Source organism: Homo sapiens, chromosome 13, assembly GCF_000001405.40.
Source record: "Homo sapiens chromosome 13, GRCh38.p14 Primary Assembly".
NCBI lineage: Eukaryota > Metazoa > Chordata > Mammalia > Primates > Hominidae > Homo > Homo sapiens.
The window spans coordinates 89,277,832-89,298,165 of NC_000013.11; the positions used below are offsets into that span (position 1 = coordinate 89,277,832).

Consider the following 20,334-nt stretch of genomic DNA (forward strand, 5'->3'; position numbering starts at 1 on the left):
TATTAGAAGTGCTCAGAAGGAAAGGTTGAATTCAGTATAGAATTACAATATTTAGGAAGCCAAGTGGACAGAATTTGAACTACTGTTAGTGGGTAGTAAACATTTGGGGCAAGTCAAATATATCTCTTGGTATATTAACTAGGGTGAAAATATATGATGCTGCAAAAAATGCAGTAAAGAGTTTAGGCGACTGTCAGGAGCCCAGCTGAGGTGGGGGAGAGCTGATCTGGCAAATATCAGCATAGTCTATAAAAGCAACAAGCCAAACACAAAAAAATTAAGCCTTTAATCATTTTCTGTAGTGGAAGAAGCTAAAACTGGAGAAAACACTGATGAAAACCTGTTTTATTTTACCTCATAGAGTTGTGCCTCAGCGAAGGGTCAGCATGGGTACGGAGGTCCCCTCAGTTGAGGGAACCTGAAAGGCTCCTGCAGTTGTATGGACCCTGGAATGATGATGCAGGAGAGAGTTAGGAGTGGAAAAGTACTAGAAAAGTGTGGAAATTGTCTTCATGTTTTCCCTGTCTTTCCTCCAGTAAGGAGGCTTAGCAGAGGTGCTTGAAGAAGGCCTCCACCTAAAGCCTCAGAGAAAGACACCTAGGAATGAAGGTGCCTGGGCTTGGAATGCAAATGGCGGAAGAACTTGATGGACCGGAGCAGCCTGGCCTGAGTCCTTTTCTGCCATTCCCCTTGGACACTGCCATCCTCTGGATGGGCGTCAAGCCTGCTGTGGAAAGGGCAGCTTCCACTTCGAGGCCTGTCACATAAACCTTTTGTAATCATTTGTGGTCACACCTGGAAAATAGTAAGTAGGTTTTTAACCAGGAGTTGGACTCCTCACACCAATACTGTTTAAAAAAATGATAATTTAAGTTTCACACATGTTTCTTTTGAGTAGCCTGTGAGAAAGGAAATTATAAATGTTTAAAATAAAGTGAGCATAACTTTGGGAATAATCAAGATCGAGTTTGAAGAATTATCGGCCTTGGTTGTTAATTGATACAAGAAAGAAAGAGAGTAATCACTCAAAAGAATGAGTAGCGTGAAAAGAACAACATCAAATATTTGAAGTTCAAAACTATTCAGAAAATATTTGGAAGGAGAGAGGACATTCAGAAGATAGAGAAGATGAAATGAAGATGTTTAGGTTTAGACACAGGGGTACCTTGTCACAATAGAACATGAGTAGGTAATTTTGAAGAAAAATCTACAGGAATAAACAGAGAGAAAGAACAGGCAGCTGTATTCATAAGCAAATAAAGTAAAAATGATAAAATACTACAGCATTCTCAAATACTACAAACTCTTCTATGAGTCTGTACAAATTGAAAAAAAAGATAAGGTTCTATCCAAATAGTAAATAGATCATCTCTGCATTGTAAGACCCAACATTCCGTATGCTGCCTTTGACCTCTGAACCTCTGAGAACTCCGAATTCTTAGTGCTACAACCTTTTCTCTTATCAAACATGCCCTCCCACTCACCAGCAAAGCCTCCCCATCCAGCTAGGTCCATTTTCAGCCGAACCACCTGCACCCAGCTTGGTCCTCAACCTTCCCGCCTGCACAAGATCCGATTCAACCCAGTCAGTCACAACCCTCATGAGAACCAGGTTGCACCCCACCTTCCTATTAATACAAAGCCTGCCTCTCACATCCCTCCTGTTTCACTCTGCTCCTGAGTGTAGCCTTGCACTGCACGTGGCATTCTCCTTTCTTGGGCTGTGAGTAAACGTGACTAATAATCTGCTGCTAACTGCATCTGTTCATTGTCAAGTGTCCTGTGTTCAACCGCCTTGTACTATTTATAATGAGGGATTCCTTCTTCACCAACAGGGTGAACAGAAAATGTTCAGAGCAATCATCCTCTGAAAATTCATATAAATGACAGCAGAAATACAAGAAGGAGATTGGATTTCAATCCTCTTGGAAACAATTGATTTGGAAGTGGTCTGTGGTCTAAAGATTTTGACAAAATTTTAGGAGCAAGTAAAGATGATATAAATATATAAAGAGACAGAACAGAAGGGAGATAGCCACATTTCAGAAAACATGGAGAAATTATACAAGTGATTCTTCCCAGGAAATTCTTCAGAAATGTCCAAAGAAAAAATTATGGACTTACAAATCTGACTGTGCGATGACTGCAAAATCCTCCTTTATCTTCCTCTCCCTGACATGCATGCAAACACACACACACACACACACACACACACACACACCCTGAGATTTGCATCATTTGTCTTTAGGCTAAAATAAGGGAAAACATTTCAAAATGATTTACCGATTTTTTTAAATGATGGGCACAGTAACCATAATTAAGTCTTCCGTATTTGGCATTGGAATGAAGGTAACGGGATCAAACCCTTCTATTTACTTCTCCTTACTCATCCAAAGATGCAGTCAACCATCAACAAACACTTCCCTAGTATACTGCCCACAAAGTCAGCTCGTAAATTCAGGGAAAATAGTTTATAAGGGTCTCAAGGCTGTTTAAAAACACCAACACCATAAGAGAGATGGAGTAGGTGGAAAAAATACACAAAGAAAGTGCAACGAACAGAAACAACTAAAATAAACAAGGAACATTCAGCAAAAATTTTAAATGTTGTATTATCTGTTATGATTTTTCTTTTACTTTTCCTTCATAAGTAAACCATTTATTTTTCTGAAAATTTTGAGTGTATTCTTTCTATCATCATTATGCTTAAACGTGATGGGAAACTTACTGGGCATTATTTACAAGGCACATTTCTCCACACACTTGTTCCTTTTCTTTTCAATAACTTTCATCTATGTAAGCACAACAGGCTCCCTTATTTTGCTCTGTTCTTCTGCAAAGTCACCTTCCATATGAAAAGACTTCCCTGGAAAGTATTGCCTTCCCACTCTACCTAAAACTTCAGTGTATTTTCCAGATATTCTATATGCCCTCTCCTGATGTGATTTGTTCTCCTTATAATTTTGCACTGATTGTTATACTATATTTATCTTGATTATTGTCTTTCTCCTCTACCAAAATGTAAGAACTGTAAGTGCAATGACATTTTTCTCTTTTATCACTGTATTCCTGGCTCCTAGAGGAGCACCTGACATGTTATAATTGTTCTTACTGAAGAAAATAAATAACTGATTTGGTGAAAAACCTAAAACTGTCCATCATTTTATTTTTTAACTCAATTGATTTTTTTAAACAAATATTTTTGAATAGTTGGGGTGGGACGTGGTGGCGAAAAAAGAACCTAGATTTAATAGAACATATAAAGAAAAAAGGAGATGAAAGTGACATGGTGAAATTTCTAGAAGGATACGAAATGAGGAAAAGAGGTGCATATTTGAATTTTAAAAGCTGAGATGAAATAACATGATATGGTAACAAGATCCATGGGGAGATCCAGCATGTGGTGACAGACCCGGAGAGCAACTGGGCTGAGGGAACTAGAGTAAAATTAATTGTTATCCTGGAATATGGTCAAGATGACAATATTAAGAAATGTGTGTTCAAAAGGTCTGTAATCATGCACTCAGAAGCTGCACAGTTTTTGGTTTAAGGTGTGACATTGCTTAAAAAGAATTGACAAATGCAAGGCAGGACTCCCCTTTAAATCACTTGGTGTTATTAGTTTATCAAGATCAAAACTTCAGCTGTGGATGGATATCCAATTACCATGAACTGGGAGGAAAGTGCAGCTTTACATTTAGAAACAAGAGGGGAGACCATTTACTAAAATTGGATCACAAATTTGGAGGTGGATTTGCCGCAGTAATGACATAATCGTCTCTTACCTAAGGGATGGCATAGGCACATAATTTTTCACAGTTGTATGTGATATTCCATCCAACAGGAGTTTCGTTTCAAGTAAACTTATAAAACACTGCATAACTGATTCCACCCTCAGTGTGTCATAATACAGGTTAGCAAATTTAAAGCTATTTGAAGTTTGACAGGAATGAACCTGCTTTGTTGAACGCAGTTTTTCTCTGACTATATTTAATTAACGAACCCATCATTCACAGCGTGTCTATTAATTTCCTGTGGAACTAGTGAGAAATGCTTTTCTACAGCAGAGCGTGAGGCCATGGCTATAAGCAGAGATAAATTGGCTCAAGTTGCTGAGAAAATTAAACTCTTCGGTCAAAAAACAAAACGAGTCAATAATTTAATGTGTTGGCATTGATCCATTGACACTCTTCTTTCCAAATTTTATTTTTGACTTAGTTGAATATGTGTGAGAATGCAAATGAATTATTCCTGGAAAAATAATTAAATAACTCAATAGTGGCCACAGTGAAAACCACTACAACAAATTCATTTTATTGAAACAACCAAAGCATACTCTTTTATAACATTTTTGCAAAAGATTATTGAATGTTTTCCTAGGGCATTTCATATAATATTCTTGAATTTTGAAGGAGGCAATATTCTTACCAGGGCTTTAGTCGGTTGAACAATATCCTCCCAAAATCCACATGCATCTAGAATCTCAGAATGTTACCTTATTTGGAAATAGGGTTTTGCAGATGTAATTAGTTAAGTTGAGATCATACTGGATTATGGAGGGCCCTAAATTCAATAACTGGTATCATTATAAAAGAAGACTTCACTCAGAGAAACACAGAGAGGAGGCCATGTGAAGATGGGGTCAGAGAATTGAGTTATGCTGCCATAAATCAAGGACTCTCTGGGCCATCAGAACCTGCAAGAGACAAAAAGACTTCTACCCCAGAGACTGACTTTACAGGGAGCATGGCCTTACCAAAACCTTGATTGCCAACACATTGATTCCAGACTTTTAACTACCAGAACTATTAGAGAATGAATTTCTCTTATTTTAACCCATCAAATTTATAATAACCTGCTATTGCAGACCTAAGAAACTAATACAATGACCAATCAGTTATCAAGTTTTTGTATGTTTATAAATTTTTTTAATGTTAAGATGCATGCCACTGATTGGTTTAGCAATATCATGTCAATTACATGGGCATATAGGGACTTTTTTATATTCTGTTATTTACCTTTAACAGCTTTTCTAAGGTATAACTTGCATGTAGTTGATTTGATTCATATGTAATGCAAGTTCATGCATTTTATTTTATTTTATTTATTTATTTATTTATTTTGAGATGGAGTCTCGCTCTGTCACCCAGGCTGGAGTGCAGTGGTGCATCTCCGCTCACTCTAAGCTCCGCCTCCCAGGTTCACACCATTCTCCTGCCTCAGCCTCCCAAGTAGCTGGGACCACAGGCGCCCGCCACTACGCCCGGCTAATTTTTTGTATTTTTTAGTAGAGACGGGGTTTCACCGTGTTAGCCAGGATGGTCTCCATCTCCTGACATCGTGATCCACCCGCCTCGGCCTCCCAAAGTGCTGGGATTACAGGCGTGAGCCACCGCGCCTGGCCAGTTCATGCATATTTAATACAATGTAATGGAAGGATTTTTAGTAAATATGTAGATTCATTCAACCATTAGCAAAATTCAGTTTTAGAAAATTTCCATCATCCCTTTAAGTTACTTCATGAGAGATTACAGTCTCCTATTTCCACCACATGATAAAGGCAGCCATTGATCTACTTTACTAAGAATTTCACACAAATGGAATCATATAGTATGTTGCCTTAGTGTACTGCTTCTTTCACTTAGTTATTGTTCTGGCATTTATCTATATTGTAGCATGTATCAATAATTAATTTCTTGTTAATTCAGAATAGTATTCCATTGTGTGTTTGTGTAATGACATTATCTAGTATATATTATGCCACCTATTTCTTTGCTTACATTTACATATGTGAGATTCGTGTCTCTTGATATTAACTGATTCCAGTATTATATCTCATATATCAAATACAATTTGTTTATTCTTTCTCCTGATGTTGGACAATTATTACTAATTTCCAACTTTCATTTTCTACTCTTAAAGTTATCAATATCTTGTGTGTATCTCATTCTGCACACTTGTAAAACAGTTTCTACTATATGTAGTTAGAAATAAAGTTTCTATTTTGTTTATATTATTGAATAATTAGCAATATTTGACCCAATCATGGAGAAGAGAAAATAATGCATGAAATTCCACAGATTTTATGCTTAAATTTCTTTTATTTCTAGGAAATCGTGTTTGCGTGTTTGCTTGGCCATACAGTGCTGCCTTTAATTATCTGGAGCTAACAATGCATAATTTATCTTTTGTTTCATTTGTTGGTTTAAGTTTCATAAACTTCCTTATATTATGTGTAATTTTGCAGGTGAGAAGATCAGCTCATTGTTCATTTATTCACTCCCTGTCACAATTTAATTAATTTTATGATTGGCGTCAGACATCTACACAAAGTTGGAGTGAAACTCTGAAGAATTAATCCTGTTTAGGTGAGAAGTATCATAAAATACAGGTTTTCCATGATGTTCATTAAAAATTTAATGTATATCTTGGTATGATGTTTCACATAATCTATGATATACTATTCAGACACACAATATTCTGCTGTCTTTTCTTATAATTTCATCATGATTTGAGCATTATATTGACATAATTTTAGAAATCTTTTTTCTCAGTTTTGAAATTTAGGTGAAAATAGTAAATATTTTGAAAAGAAATTGTTGCCTCAGGCTTGAACTAGCACATTTGGAGCCTCTGTAAACTAGAGTTAGGTTTATTTTTTGTTTTCTCCTCCTCTGTTTTTGTGACTTTTAAAGTGTTATTTACTAAGTAAAATGTTTATCATATTTTCCATTGTGTTTTCTAATACTGCCTCTACTTCATGTTCATAAATGCCCCCATGTCCTGCCTCTAGACTTATATTGATATCTGATTCAAATTAAACCATAAATTCCAGAGGCACAAAATATAGAAATTATGATTCATTGTTAGTTTAAATGTATTATTGTTGACATTAACATGAGCAACTTGGACAATATATTTTCCATTGAGGAAACCTAAAAAATATACATTGTCTCTTTACATTGGAAAGAGGTAGAAATCAAACATAATTTTAAACTAAATAAAGTGTGGGTTTAGTATTGTGAAACTATTGTTTCATTATGAAATGGGTTTTGGTAAGATCTCTATTTAAATAAGAATAGTAATGAGAATAATTCAATAGTATATGAAGGACATTTGTTTGACAGGGTCAAAAACAAATAGTGATCAGGGAACATGCATATTGGTATTATGAGATTAATATTGAGCAAAATAAATCTCAAGAATTATTACAGAAACGTCATAAATTTTGCTACTTAGAATTTCATGAAGGCTAAAGTCAAACATGACAATGCAAAATGGAATAAATATGTACATTTGTGCTGACAACAACCTTAACTATAATAGATATGTTGTACTTGGCAAAATATTGCATTTTCTATTTTTTTAAGCATAGTTTTGTTATTTGTGTAAGTTACTTGTATTCACACACACAGTCTTCATTTGAATTAATGTTCATTTATCCTAAAATAATATATACCACTATCTCATCTCACAAAACAACAATTTCATCACCTTTACATGTTGTAATGTAGAACTGAGTGCTAAATAATGCTAGGAAAAATATAAATGCCATAAAATGTAAACATAAAAGTTTTCAGAGATCCTCACATTTGGAGGAAAAAGGGCATATAAAAATATAATAAATCATCTCCTCTAGCTAAGTAAGTCTATACCACCATTTCTAAAGATATTACACTGACACAGTTGAATAGCATCAACTTGGGTTAGAAATATATGCCACTGAATATAGTTTTTCCTTTTTTATATAGGTGTCACTTTGTTTTATAGTTGGAGTAAATAAAAATACTGCTTTTCTTTAGGCTGATTGTTAAAATTGCACCGTACAATTCCCTCTTAGTCCTCAAATGGTTATAGAGTCTCAGAGTATCAGAATGGGCTTATTTTGTAGAAACATGAAATTCTAATTTATCTTTAATAATAATTATTGATGAACGGTACTAATTATTACAAAATACTGCTATTTTCTCCAATATATTTATATATTCAAAAATATTTAAGATTATTTACAATTATTTGCATATTGTCACTTAACCCAATGATGGATACAAAATATACAAAACTGGTATAAATAAAAAGTGAAAAGCTTCCAAAAATGGTGATATTTTTTATTGACCTACCTTAACACTTGCCCTTTGGGAAAGTAAAAAGGAAAAAACACCATAATATTATTGTAACATATTTTAAATAAAAAGACTTATTAACAATATAGTTGCAATGTATTTCAATGTTTATCATATTTTGGGAAGTTTCTATTTTAAATTTAAACTGAGAAATGTTTATATAAATCATATGCCATGTTATGGACTGACTTGTGTCCCTACAAAATTTGTCTGTTGAATCCATAACCCCCAATTGTACCTGAATTTGGAGATAAGGTCTTTCAATATGAATTAAAGTTAAATGAAGGCATAATGTTGGGGGCTAGATTTAATGTGACTGTTGTCCTTGCAAGAGAGAGACACCAGGGAAGTGCCCACAGAGAAAACGCCATGTGAGGGCATAGCAAAGAGGTGTTCTGCAAGCCAGGAAGAGGACCCTCACCAAACATTGAATGTGCCAACACCTTTCTCCTGAACATCCAGTCTCCAGAAATGTGAGAAACAAATTTCCGGTAAGCCACCCAGTCTGTGGTATTTTGTTATGGCAGCACTAGCGAACTAATACCATGTCCCAATGTTGCTAATTTTCTCTTTCACAGTCCAGGAGATAATTGATAAAAGAAAGTGCTTTCTTTTTTCTGAATTTTTAATTATTGTTATAGGTACATGGTATGTGTATATATTTATGGAGTACATGAGATGTTTTGATACAGGCATACAATGTGTAATAATCATATTATTGAAATTGGGGTACCCATTTCCTCAAGTATTTATCCTTTGTGTTATAAACAATCCAATGTTACTCTTTTAGTTATTTTTAAATGTACAGTTAAAATTATTATTGATGAGATAGTGTTACAGGATCTTTGGGGTGTTGCTTTTCTGGCTGGAAACCTCTGTGTCCCGTGGTGCCTTTGGCCGAGTTCTTGTCCTGCATCCAGGAAGAATAAAGTATGCAGACAAGTGGAGGGTGTGCTAGATGACGTGGAGCTTGATGGAGTGTTAGAACAGCTGAGAGGTGACCTGCAGTTGGTAGCTCATCTCTGTAGGCAGGTTGTCCCCTTGAGTGTTCAGCTGTCAGCAAAAAGAAGGCCCTGGAGTGGGTGGCTCCTCTCTGCAGCCAGGTCATCCCATCGTCTCTGCAGCTCTTAGCAGAAAGATTGAAGTGCGTAGCTCTTCTCTGCCAGTAGGTTATCCTAACGAGTCCCTGGAGAGGGTAGCTCCTCTCTGCAGCTGCTCATCCCAATGTCTGCCCAGCTCCTAGCAGAGAGGAAGCCCTGGAGTGGGTTGCTCCTCTCTGCAGCTAGTAGTCCTGATGTCTAGAGGGTAGCTTCTCTCTGCAGCTGGTTGTCCCATCATCTTCTCTGCTCCGGCTAAGCCCGGCCCTTTTATGGGCCTCAGAGGGGAGGAAGTGCATGCTGATTGGTCCATGGACAGCCATGGGAAGGCCCAAAAAAGTCACCACAAGTTCCCACTCCAATCCGTGGGTCTGGCAGCCCAGCTCCCAGCCTTCAGGAGAGGCCTTACTGGGGACCCACTCCCTTCCATCTAGGAATATGTCTGTCTCCTGCTACCCTTCATGGTGCCCGGGGTCAGCCTGCACTTTGCTCCAATGTTGGAGCGGGTGGCCGCAGCAGGGAGAAGCCAGGCAGTGGGAGCAGGCACTTCCGAGACTGCAAGGGCAGGGAGGGGTCTTCCCAGGCTCCGAAGAGTGCAGGGATGCCTGAGTCTGCAGCCATGGTTTCAGCAGTGCAGCTGTCTTGTTGGGGGTGGGGTAGGGGGGCAGGTGGTGGTACTCCTGCCTGCTCCTGGCCCCCAAGAGCACAGGAAGGCTTGGATCCCTTGGATCCTCAGTCACGACTTGGGTGGCTGCAGCCCCACCTGGGAGGGTGGGTTTCCTGCCTGCTCTGTGGATTGAGAGGCCCAGGTCTGCAGCCATGGTTTGGGTGGCTGCAGCAGCAGCCAGGGAGCTCCCACCCCTACTCAGAAGTGGCAGGGATCACTTTTGTCCCTGGCTCCCATTGGCTCCATGGAGAGTGCAGCCCTGGCCACGCCTCCCTGCTGCAGCAGGTATGATGGCAGCAGCAGGCCATCTGGAGAGGCCACTGCCGTCAATTGTACCATGTTATGTTGTCAAATACTAGGCCTTACTCATTCTTTCCATTTCTGTGGCATCCATTCACCATCCCCACCTCCCCACCAATACAAACCCACTTCCCTTTCCAGCCTTTGGTAAACATCCTTTTAATCTGCATCTCCATGAGTTCAATTGTTTGGATTTTAAAATCCTACAAATAAGTGAGAAAATGTGATGTTTGTCTTTCTGTGCCTTGCTTATTTCAGGTAACATACATAATGACCTCCAGTTCCATCCATGTTTTTGCAAATGACAGCATCTCATTGTTTTTTGTGGCTGAATAGTATTCCATTGTGAATAAGTACCACATTTTCTTTTCCCATTCATCTGTTGATGAACACTTAGTTTGCTTGCAAATTTTGGTTACTGTGAACAGTGCTGCAACAAACATGGGAGGGCAGATATCTCTTTGATATACTGATTTACATTTTTTTGTTGTTCTGGGTATATATCCAACAGTAGGATTGCCAGATCATATGGGAGTTCTATTTTAATTTTTTGAGAACCCTCCAAACTGTTCTCCATAAAGGTGGTTCTAATTTATGTTCCCACCAACAGTATATGAGGGTTTTCTTTTCTGCAAATCCTCTCCAGGACTTATTGACTGTCTTTGGAATATAAATCATTTTAACTGGGGTAAGATGCTATCTCATTGTAATTTTGATTTGTATTTCTTGGATGATCAAGAGCATCTTTTCATGTACCTGTTGCCATTTGTATGTCTTCTTTTGAGAAATGTCTATTCAAATATTTTGCCCATGTTTTAATAAAATTGTTTTTTCCTATATAGTTGTTTAAGCTCCTTATATATTCTAGTTATTAATACATTGTCAAATACATATTTTTCAAATATTTTCTCCCATTCTGTGGGTTCCTCACTGTGACGAAGCTTTTTAACTTGATGTGATCCCATTTGTGTATTTTTGCTTTGGTTGCTTGTGCTTGTAGGGCATTACTCAAAAGTTTCTGCACAGGCCAATGTCCTAGAGAGTTTATCCAATTTTTTTAATCAGTTTTATCATTTGAGGTCTTAGATTTAAGTCCTTAATCCATTTTGATTTTACTTTTGTATATGACAAGAGATAGGGGTCTAGTTTCATTCTTCTGCATATGGATATCCAGTTATCTCCACACCATTTATTGAAGAGAGTGTCTTTTCTTCAGTGTATATTCTTGGCACCTTTGTGGAAATGAGTTTGCTGTAGGGGCATGAAGTTGTTTCTGGGTTCTCTACTCTGTTCCGTTGGTCTATGTGTCTGTTTTTATGCCAGTACCATGCTGTTTTGGTTACTGTAGCTCTGCAGTATAATTTGAAGTCAGTTAATGTGATTCCTCCAGTTTTGTTCTTTTTGCTTAGGATAGCTTTGACTATTCTGGGTCTTTTGTGGTATTATATAACATTTAATTTTTTTTTTCCTATTTCAGTGAAGAATTTCATTGATATTTTGATACAAATTGCATTAAATTTGTAGATTGCTTTGAGTGGTATCAACATTTTAACAATATTGATTTTTCCAATCCACAAACATGGAATACCTTTCCATTTTTTTGTTTGTTCATTTTAATTTCTTTCACCAGTGTCTTATAGTTTGTATTTTAGAAATCTTTCACTTCCTTGCTTAAGTTAATTCCTAAGTATTTTATTTTATGTGAGACTATTGTAAATAGAATTTTTTTATTTATTTTTCAGATTGTTCACTGTTGACATATAGAAATCTACTGGGGTTTTTTTAGTGTTGATTTTGTATCCTGCAAATCTCTGATCTTGTTTATCAGTTCCAATAGTTTTCTTGTGGAATCCTTAGGGTTCTCCAAATGTAAGATCACATCACCTGCAAAAAGGATAATTTAACCCTATTTAGATGCCTTTCATATATTTGTCTTGTCCGCTTGCTCTAGCTAGGCCTTCCGGTTAAGTACTATGTTGAATAACAGTGGTGAAACAGTGACATCCTTGTCATGTTCCAGATCTTGGAGGAAAGGCTTTCAGTTTTTCCCCATTAAGTATGATACTAGCTGTGGTTTTGTCATATATGACTTTTATTATGTTGATGTATGTTCTTTCTATACCCTGTTTTTTGAAGGATTTTATCATTAACAATGCTAAACTTTATCAAATGCTTTTTTGGCATCAGGTGAAAAGATCATATTTTTTGTCCTTCATTCTGTTAATATGACTTATTATATGAATTGATTTATGTACATTCAAGGATCCTTGCACCCCAGGGATAAATCTCACTTGGACATGAAGAATGTTATTTTAATGTTTTGTTGAGATCCGTTTGCTAGTATTCTGTTGAAGGATTCTGCATCAATATTCATCAAACATATTGGTCTGTAGTTTTCTTTATTTGATGTGTCTTTATCTAGTTTTGGTATCAGAGTAAGACTGGCCTCATAGAATGAGTTCAGAAGTATTTCATCCTCCTATTACTGAGAATGTTTTTAGTAGAATTGATATTAGTTCTTTAAATTTTTAATAGAATTCAGCAGCGAAATCATCACGTCACAGGCTTTTCTTTACGGGGACATTTTTACTATGGCTTCAATCTCACTATTTGTTATTGATCTGCTTTGGTTTTATATTTCTTCATGATTCAGTCTTGGCAGGTCGTATATGCCTAGGAATTTGTTCATTTCTTCTAGATTTTCCAATTTATTGACATATAGTTGCTCATAGTAAACACTAATTATTATTTGAATTTCTGTGGTATCAGTTGCAATGTCTCCTTTTTCACCTTTTGTTTTATTTATTTGGGTCTTCTCTTTTTTTCTTAGTCTGGCTAAAGATTTGGCTATTTTGTTTAACTTTTCAAAAGCAACTTTTTTGTTATATTGGTCTTTTGTACTGTTTGCTTCATTTGAATTTCATTTATTTCTTCTCTGATATTTATTATTTCTTTTTTATGCTAATCTCAGCTTTGGTTTGCTCCTGATTCTCTAGTTTGTTAAGATGCATTGTTATTTTGTGTATTTGAAGTTTTTCTGCTTTTTTTGATGTAGACACTTATTGCTATAAACTTCTGTGTTAGTATTGCATTTGTTGTATCTCATAGCTTTTGGTATGTTGTGTTTTCTTCATCATTTGTCTCAAGAAATTTTTTAATTTCCTTCTTAATTTCTTCATTGACCCACTGGTCATTCAGGCACATATTGTTTAATTTCCATGTATTTTTATAATTTCCAAAATTTCTCATTATCAATTCCTAGTTTTATTCCATTGTTGTCAGAGGAAATGCTTGATATTATTCCAATTTTTTGGAATGTTTTAAGACTAGTTTTATAACCTAACATATGGTCTATCCTTGAGAATAATTCATGTGCTGAGGAAAAGAATGTGTATTCTGCAAGCATTGAATGAAACATTCTGCACATGTCTGTTAGGTTCGTTGGATCTATACTGGAGATTAAGCTCGATGTTTCTTTGTTGACTTTCTGTCTGGAAGATCTCTCTGATGTTGAAAGTAAGGTGTTGAATTCTCTAGCTATTATTTTATTGGGGGCATATCTCTCTCTAATAATATTTGCTTTATATAGCTGGGTGTTTCAATGTTAGGTTTACATATATTTACAATAGTTCCATTTTCTTGCTTAATTGACTCCTTTATCATTACATAGTGACTTTGTTTGTCTCTTCTTATACTTCTTGTCTGGAAATCTATTTTGTCCCCATACCCTTATTTTCAATCTGTTTCTTTCTAGACAAAGTGTGTTCCTTGCAGGCAACAAATTATTGGTTCTTGTTTTGTTTTTGTTGTTTTTTTTTTAATCCATTCAGTTACTCTGTGTCTTTTGATTGGAGAGTTTAGCCTATTTACCTTCAATGTAATTATTGATAAGTAATGACTTACTCCTGCCATTTGTTAGACGTTTTCCGGTTGTGTTTTATAATCTTCTCTTCCTTCTTTCCTTTCTATCTTCCTTTTAGTGAAGGTGATTTCATCTAAGGCTATCATTCAGTTTCTTGCTTTTTATTTTTTTATATTTGCTGTATATTTTTTAGTTTGAGGTTCCCAAGAGGCTTACAAATACTATCTTATAACTCATCATTTTAAGCTGATAACAGCTTGACATTATTTTCATAAACAAGCAAAAGGAAAACTAACATAAAAGACTCTGTGCCTTAACTTTATTTTCCTGCTTGTTATTTTATTGTTTCTATTTGTATCTTCTTGTACTGGCTATGTCTTGAAAATTGTTGTAGTTATTATTTTTTATTCATTCATCATTTACTGTTTCTGCTTAAGAATAGTTTACATACCACAGTTACAGTGTCACAATATTCTGTTTTTCTGTATAATCTCTATTACCAGAGAGTTTTGGATCTTCAAATGATTTCTTATTGATTATTGTCTTTTTCTTTCTGATTGAAGTACTCTCGTTAGTATTTCTTGTTGGACAGTTCTGGTACTGATGAAATCCCTCAATTTTTGTTTGTCTGGGAAAGCCTTAATTTCTCCATGTTTGAAGGACATTGTCACCCGATATATGATTTTAAGTAAGAGGTGTTTTTTGTTGTTTTATTTTTTTCCCTTCAGCACCTTGTATATGTCATGCCACTCTCTCCTGACCTGCAAGGTTTCCACTGAACAGTCTGCTGCCAGGCATACAATACAATTGGAACTCCATTGTGTAGCATTTTTTTTCTTTTGCTGCTTTTAGCATCTTTTCTTTATCCTTGACCTTGGGGAGCTTACTTATTAAATGCCTTGAGGTAGTCTTCTTCGGGTTAAATCTGCTTGGTGTTCTATAACCTTCTTGGATGTGGATATTGATAGCTTTCTCTAGGTTTGGGAAGTTTTATGTTATTATCCTTTTGAATAAACTCTCTACACCCTTTCTTTACCTTCTGTTTATGGCCAATACATCTTAGATTTGCCCTTTTGAGGCCATTTTCTAGATCCTGTAGGTATCCTTCATTGCTTTTGATTCCTTTTGCTTTTATCTCCTCTGACTCTTTGTTTTCATATAGCCCATCTTCAAACTCACCAAGTTTTACTTCTCCTTATCAGTTCTGCTATGAAAAGACTCTCATGCATTCTTCCATATGTCAATTGCATTTTTAAACTCCAGAATTTCTACTTGATTCTTTTTAATTATTTCAATCTCCTTGTTAAATTTATCTGACAGAACTCTGAATTCCTTCTCTGTGTTATCTTGAATTTCTTTGAGTTGCCTCAAAACAGCTGTTTTGAATGCCCTGGCTGAAAGGTCACATATCTGTGTTTTCCAGAATTATTCCCTGGTGCCTTATTTAGTTCATTTGATGAGATCATGATTTCCTGAATGGTGTTGATGCTCATAGATATTCTTCTGTGTCTGGGCACTGAAGAGTTAGGTACTTATTGTAGTCTTCATATTCTGGGCTTGTTTGTACTCATCCTTCTTGGAAAGGCTTTCCAGCTGTTTGAAAGGATTTTTGTGAATAGTGCCGCAATAAACATACGTGTGCATGTGTCTTTATAGCAGCATGATTTATAATCCTTTGGCAAAGACTTGGAACCAACCCAAATGTCCAACAACAATAGACTGGATTAAGAAAATGTGGCACATATACACCATGGAATACTATGCAGCCATAAAAAATGATGAGTTCATGTCCTTTGTAGGGACATGGATGAAACTGGAAACCATCATTCTCAGCAAACTATCGCAAGGACAAAAAACCAAACACCACATGTTCTCACTCATATGTGGGAATTGAACAATGAGAACACATGGACACAGGAAGGGGAACATCGCACTCCAGGGACTGTTGTGGGGTGGGGGGAGGGGAGAGGGATAGCATTAGGAGATACACCTAATGTTAAATGATGAGTTAATGGGTGCAGCACACCAACATGGCACATGTATATATATGTAACGAGCCTGCACATTGTGCACATGTACCCTAAAACTTAAAGTATAATAATAATAAAATTAAAAACAAAAAAAGAAAGGATTTTTGTGTTAAGATCTAAGCTGCATCTGCTTTAGGGGGCGCCCAAGCCCAGTAATTCTGTGGTTCTTACAGGCTCATAAAGGTACTGCCTTGATGACCTTGGATAAGATCCAGAAGAATTCTCTGGATTACCAGCTGGAAACTTTTTCTCTTCCCTTATTTTCTCCCAAACAAACAGCATCTCTCTCCCTCTCTCTCTCTTTCTCTCTCCTCTGCCACCTGGATTGCGGGTGGAGTAACACAAGCACTGCTGTGGCCACCACCCCTGGGACTATGCTAGGTCAGACCCAAAGCCAGCGCTCCCTTAGCCCACCCTCTATCCAGTGTCTCAGTATGTCACATCGGCCCCGACCAGCCCACTGGCTCTGGGCCCAGTTCAGCACTAGGATTTGCTTAGGATTTTTATTCCTTGTGGCCTAGACTGCCTTTCAAGTTTATTCAGAGTCCCAGAGCACTTTAGCTCATGGTGATGAGGCTTGTGGGAAATCAAGTTCCAACCTCTGGAACCGGCAATTCCCATCTGGCTAGCACTGGTTTAAATGGCCCCTTTGTGGGTGGGCATCAGCTGTGTTTGGTCCCGCTTTTCTTTCTGCTGTAACAGGGCAGCACTGAGTTCAGTGCCTCGCAATTGCTAAACTCTCCATCTCTCCAGTGCACAGAATCACTCACTGCACCACGCGGCTACTGCCATGAGGTAGGGGAGGGGTTGCATCAGCAATTCAAAACTGTTTTTCTGATGTCTTCAGTGCCTCCTTCAGTGATATTAAGTTAAAACCAGGTATTGTAAGTGCTTACCTGATTTTTGCTTCTCACGAAGGTGCTTTTTATGTGTATATAGTTGTTAATTGGTGCTCTTGCAGGGAGGATGATTAGTGGAGCCTTCTATTCTGCTATTTTGCTTTGCCCCTCTCACCACAAAGTGCTTTCTAGTAACTTTTATCTGTCTAAAATAACGAGCACTAATATCTTTTGAATTCTTGTAGGAAAGTTAGAGTATAAACATTTTTTGTGTATTAAATCATTTAATCTTCAAAATAAACCAGTGAGTTAGGTTCGCTCTATTTTGCAAATGAAGGGACGAGAGCACAGTGCTCTTAAGAAACTTGACTGAGTTCACTGAGTATGGGAAACCTGCAGTTGATACTTCCACTTAACAGGTATAACTTTGTTTTCTGTACTTGTAATTTCAAAGTTAACTGTATTTTAATATATCAAATATTTGTACCGACTTGAGAATGTCTTTTTCTCACTCCAGCTGGTAAATGCCATTTAACAAATAATCTTGGATACTTCTGTCTTTACTCTAGTGAGTGACGGATGCTTTCTCTAATAATTGGGTTATTTTCACAGGGAACTTGTAGAAAGTTTACAAGCAAAGAAAAACTATAAATCATTATTTTCATACTTTTTATAGTAACATTCAATTATATTAAAATTAAATTACATTAAAAATGCCAAAAACATTTCACACTTATCAAAAAAGGGTTTGAAGTTTTGAAAAATAAAAATTGCCATGCTGTTTCTTTCAATGGATAAGGCATTTTACATTTCTTACCAGCAGTATAGAGGAATATCAGTTGCTCTGCATTCTCATGAACAATTGCCATTGTCAGGTTTTTACATTTTAGTCTGTCTAATAAGTGCATAGTAGTATCATATTGTGGTTTCAATTTGTATTTTCTTAATAACTGATAGATTTGAGTGTCTTTTCTTGTGCTTCTTTGTTTTCTATATCTTCTTCATTAAAGTATTTGTTTAAATTTTGCACTTTTTATATCGGAAAATATTCTTTTATTGTGTTTTAAGAATTCTTTATATATTCCAGGTAAAGTACCATTATCAACTAATTTATTTGTAACTATTTTCTCAGTCTGCATTTTTTTATTTTTATTATCTTAACATTGTCTTTAGAAGAGCAGACATTCTTAATTTTGATAATGTTAGAGTCATCAGCAGATTATTTATAGATTGTATTTTTGGCTTAGTACTTAAGAATTATTTGCAATCCCAAGGTTGAAAAGTTTTACTCCAGTGAATTTTCTTCTGAAAGTTTAATAAATTCAGGTTTTGCATTTAAATCTACTATATATTTGAGATTTTAAAAAATATAATATAAGGCATAAAAACTCTTTCTAAAAAACAGATTATCCAATTTGTCAAGAATAATTTGTTGTTAATATTATCTTTTCTGCATAAATTGCCTTTGTACCTTTGTTAAGAATTAGTTGTCTATATATAGATGTGTGTCTATTATTTATTTCAGAACTCTCTTATCCTTATTTATTTATCTATTTTTATAACAACATCACACTTTCTTACTTGATTAGTTATTTTTATAAAGTTTAGTTTATCTCAATGAAGTCAGTCTGAATTAAACATACCCCTACTGTATGATCTATCCATTCTATTCCTATGAATTTATATGAGAGAAATGAAAATAGATGTCCACACAAATACTTGTATGTGAATATCCACGGGAGTTTTACTTAAAATAGTCCAAAACTGAAATGTCCATTAACATGGCTTGAATATTTTGTCCCCTCCAGAAATTTACATTGAATACTAATCCCCAACGCTACAGTGTTGGGAAATAGGGCCTTTTGGGAGGCATATAGATTATTAGGACTCTGCCATCATGAACGTATTAATGATGTTATAAAAGGCCTTGATAGAGAAAATTTCTCCCTCTTGCTCTTTCATCTTCTACCATTTGAGGACACAGTGTTCCTTTCCGCTGGAATATGAAGTCTTCACGGTTCCATCTTGGAAGCAGAAAGCAGACCTCACCAGATGCTGGCACCATGACCTTGGACTTCTCAGCCTCTAAAACTGCTAGAAATAAATCCTCATTTTTAATGAATTACCCAGTCTGTGGGTATTTTGCTTTAGTAGCACAAAACAAACTGAAAGAGAAATCAGTATCAAAAAAGTGGAATGTTGCTGAAACAAATATCTACAAATGTGGATATGGCTTTGGAGGTGGGTAATGAGAAGAGACTGGACTAGTTTAGAATTAAATGCTTGATAAAGCCTGGATTGCCATTAATGGAGCATTAAGTATGATTCTGGTGAGGCTTGAGAAGAAAAGGCAAATAAAAGAAGCCCCATTCTTACAGATTACTTGTGTGGTTGTGAATGGAATGTTGATAGAGATATGGACAGTAAAGGCCATTCTCATGAGGTCTTAGATGGAAATGAGAAACAAGATATTAGAAACTGGAGAAAACGCCATCCTTGTTTTAAAGTGGCACATAACTTGAGTGAATTGTGTTTATGTCCTAAGACTTTGTGGAAGGCAGAACTTAATAGTGATGAACTAAGATATAGGGGTGGACAAAATCTTTAAGCAGGAAAGCATTAAGGATATACTGTGTTGTTTCGCTTGACTATTGTAAAACACAAGAAGAGGGAAACTATTTAAACATAGGATTTTTAATTAAAATGGAAGTAGAAGGAAAATATTTGGAAAATTCTCAGACCTTCCATGTAAAAAATAAGAAAGCATGCTTAGGATAGAAAACCAACGGTGCGACTAAAGGGTAGTTTGATACGGAGATCAGGATACAAGGAAGCCAGGCATTATTCACTGAGATGATGGAAGAATGACCCCACAAATTTTCCCATATTTTCAGGGATGCCATGTCCATGATAGGCCCTTGAGTGCTAAGGCCTTGGGTGCAGAATGGTTTTTGGAGAGGGGCCCAGGACCCCTTTAGGACATTGAGACTCACTACACAGGACTGTCATTGGTCTCTGTTCCCCACATTTTGATCCAGTGCTATTCAGCTTCTCCAGATACAACTCATGTAGGCTCAGGTGTGTCTTGGGCCTCTGCTCCTGAGGATGCAAGCATTGTGCCTTGGCAGTGTCTACGTGGTGCTAATTATGCTTTCACACAGAGTGCAAGAGCCATGAAATCACGGCTTCCCCTACCTAGACTTCAACTGATGCATCAGTGAGCCTCAGGGTGCAGAAGAAGTTTCACTATGGAGAGCCCCCACCAGGAGGATATTTAGTGGAGCCATGGGGGCAGGACAGCCCAAAATGCCCCAGAACTGTAGAGCCATCCGTGTGCACCAATAGCCTGGAAAAGCTGCAAGCATGTGACTGCTGAAGCATGGCTTACTGCCAGCAAAGCCCTGTGGTGGGGCTGC

General features: G+C 36.6%; 1 long non-coding RNA gene across 1 annotated transcript in view; it reads left to right on the top strand.

The window, feature by feature from the left end:
- LINC00440 (long intergenic non-protein coding RNA 440) overlaps positions 1 to 2,409 on the top strand; it is a 44,950-nt gene extending 42,541 nt beyond the window's left edge. Inside the window, exon 4 of the long non-coding RNA NR_047025.1 lies at positions 1,836 to 2,409. This is a non-coding gene — a long non-coding RNA (long intergenic non-protein coding RNA 440). The remainder of the gene's footprint in view (positions 1 to 1,835) is intronic.
- Positions 2,410 to 20,334: the final 17,925 nt, after the last annotated feature.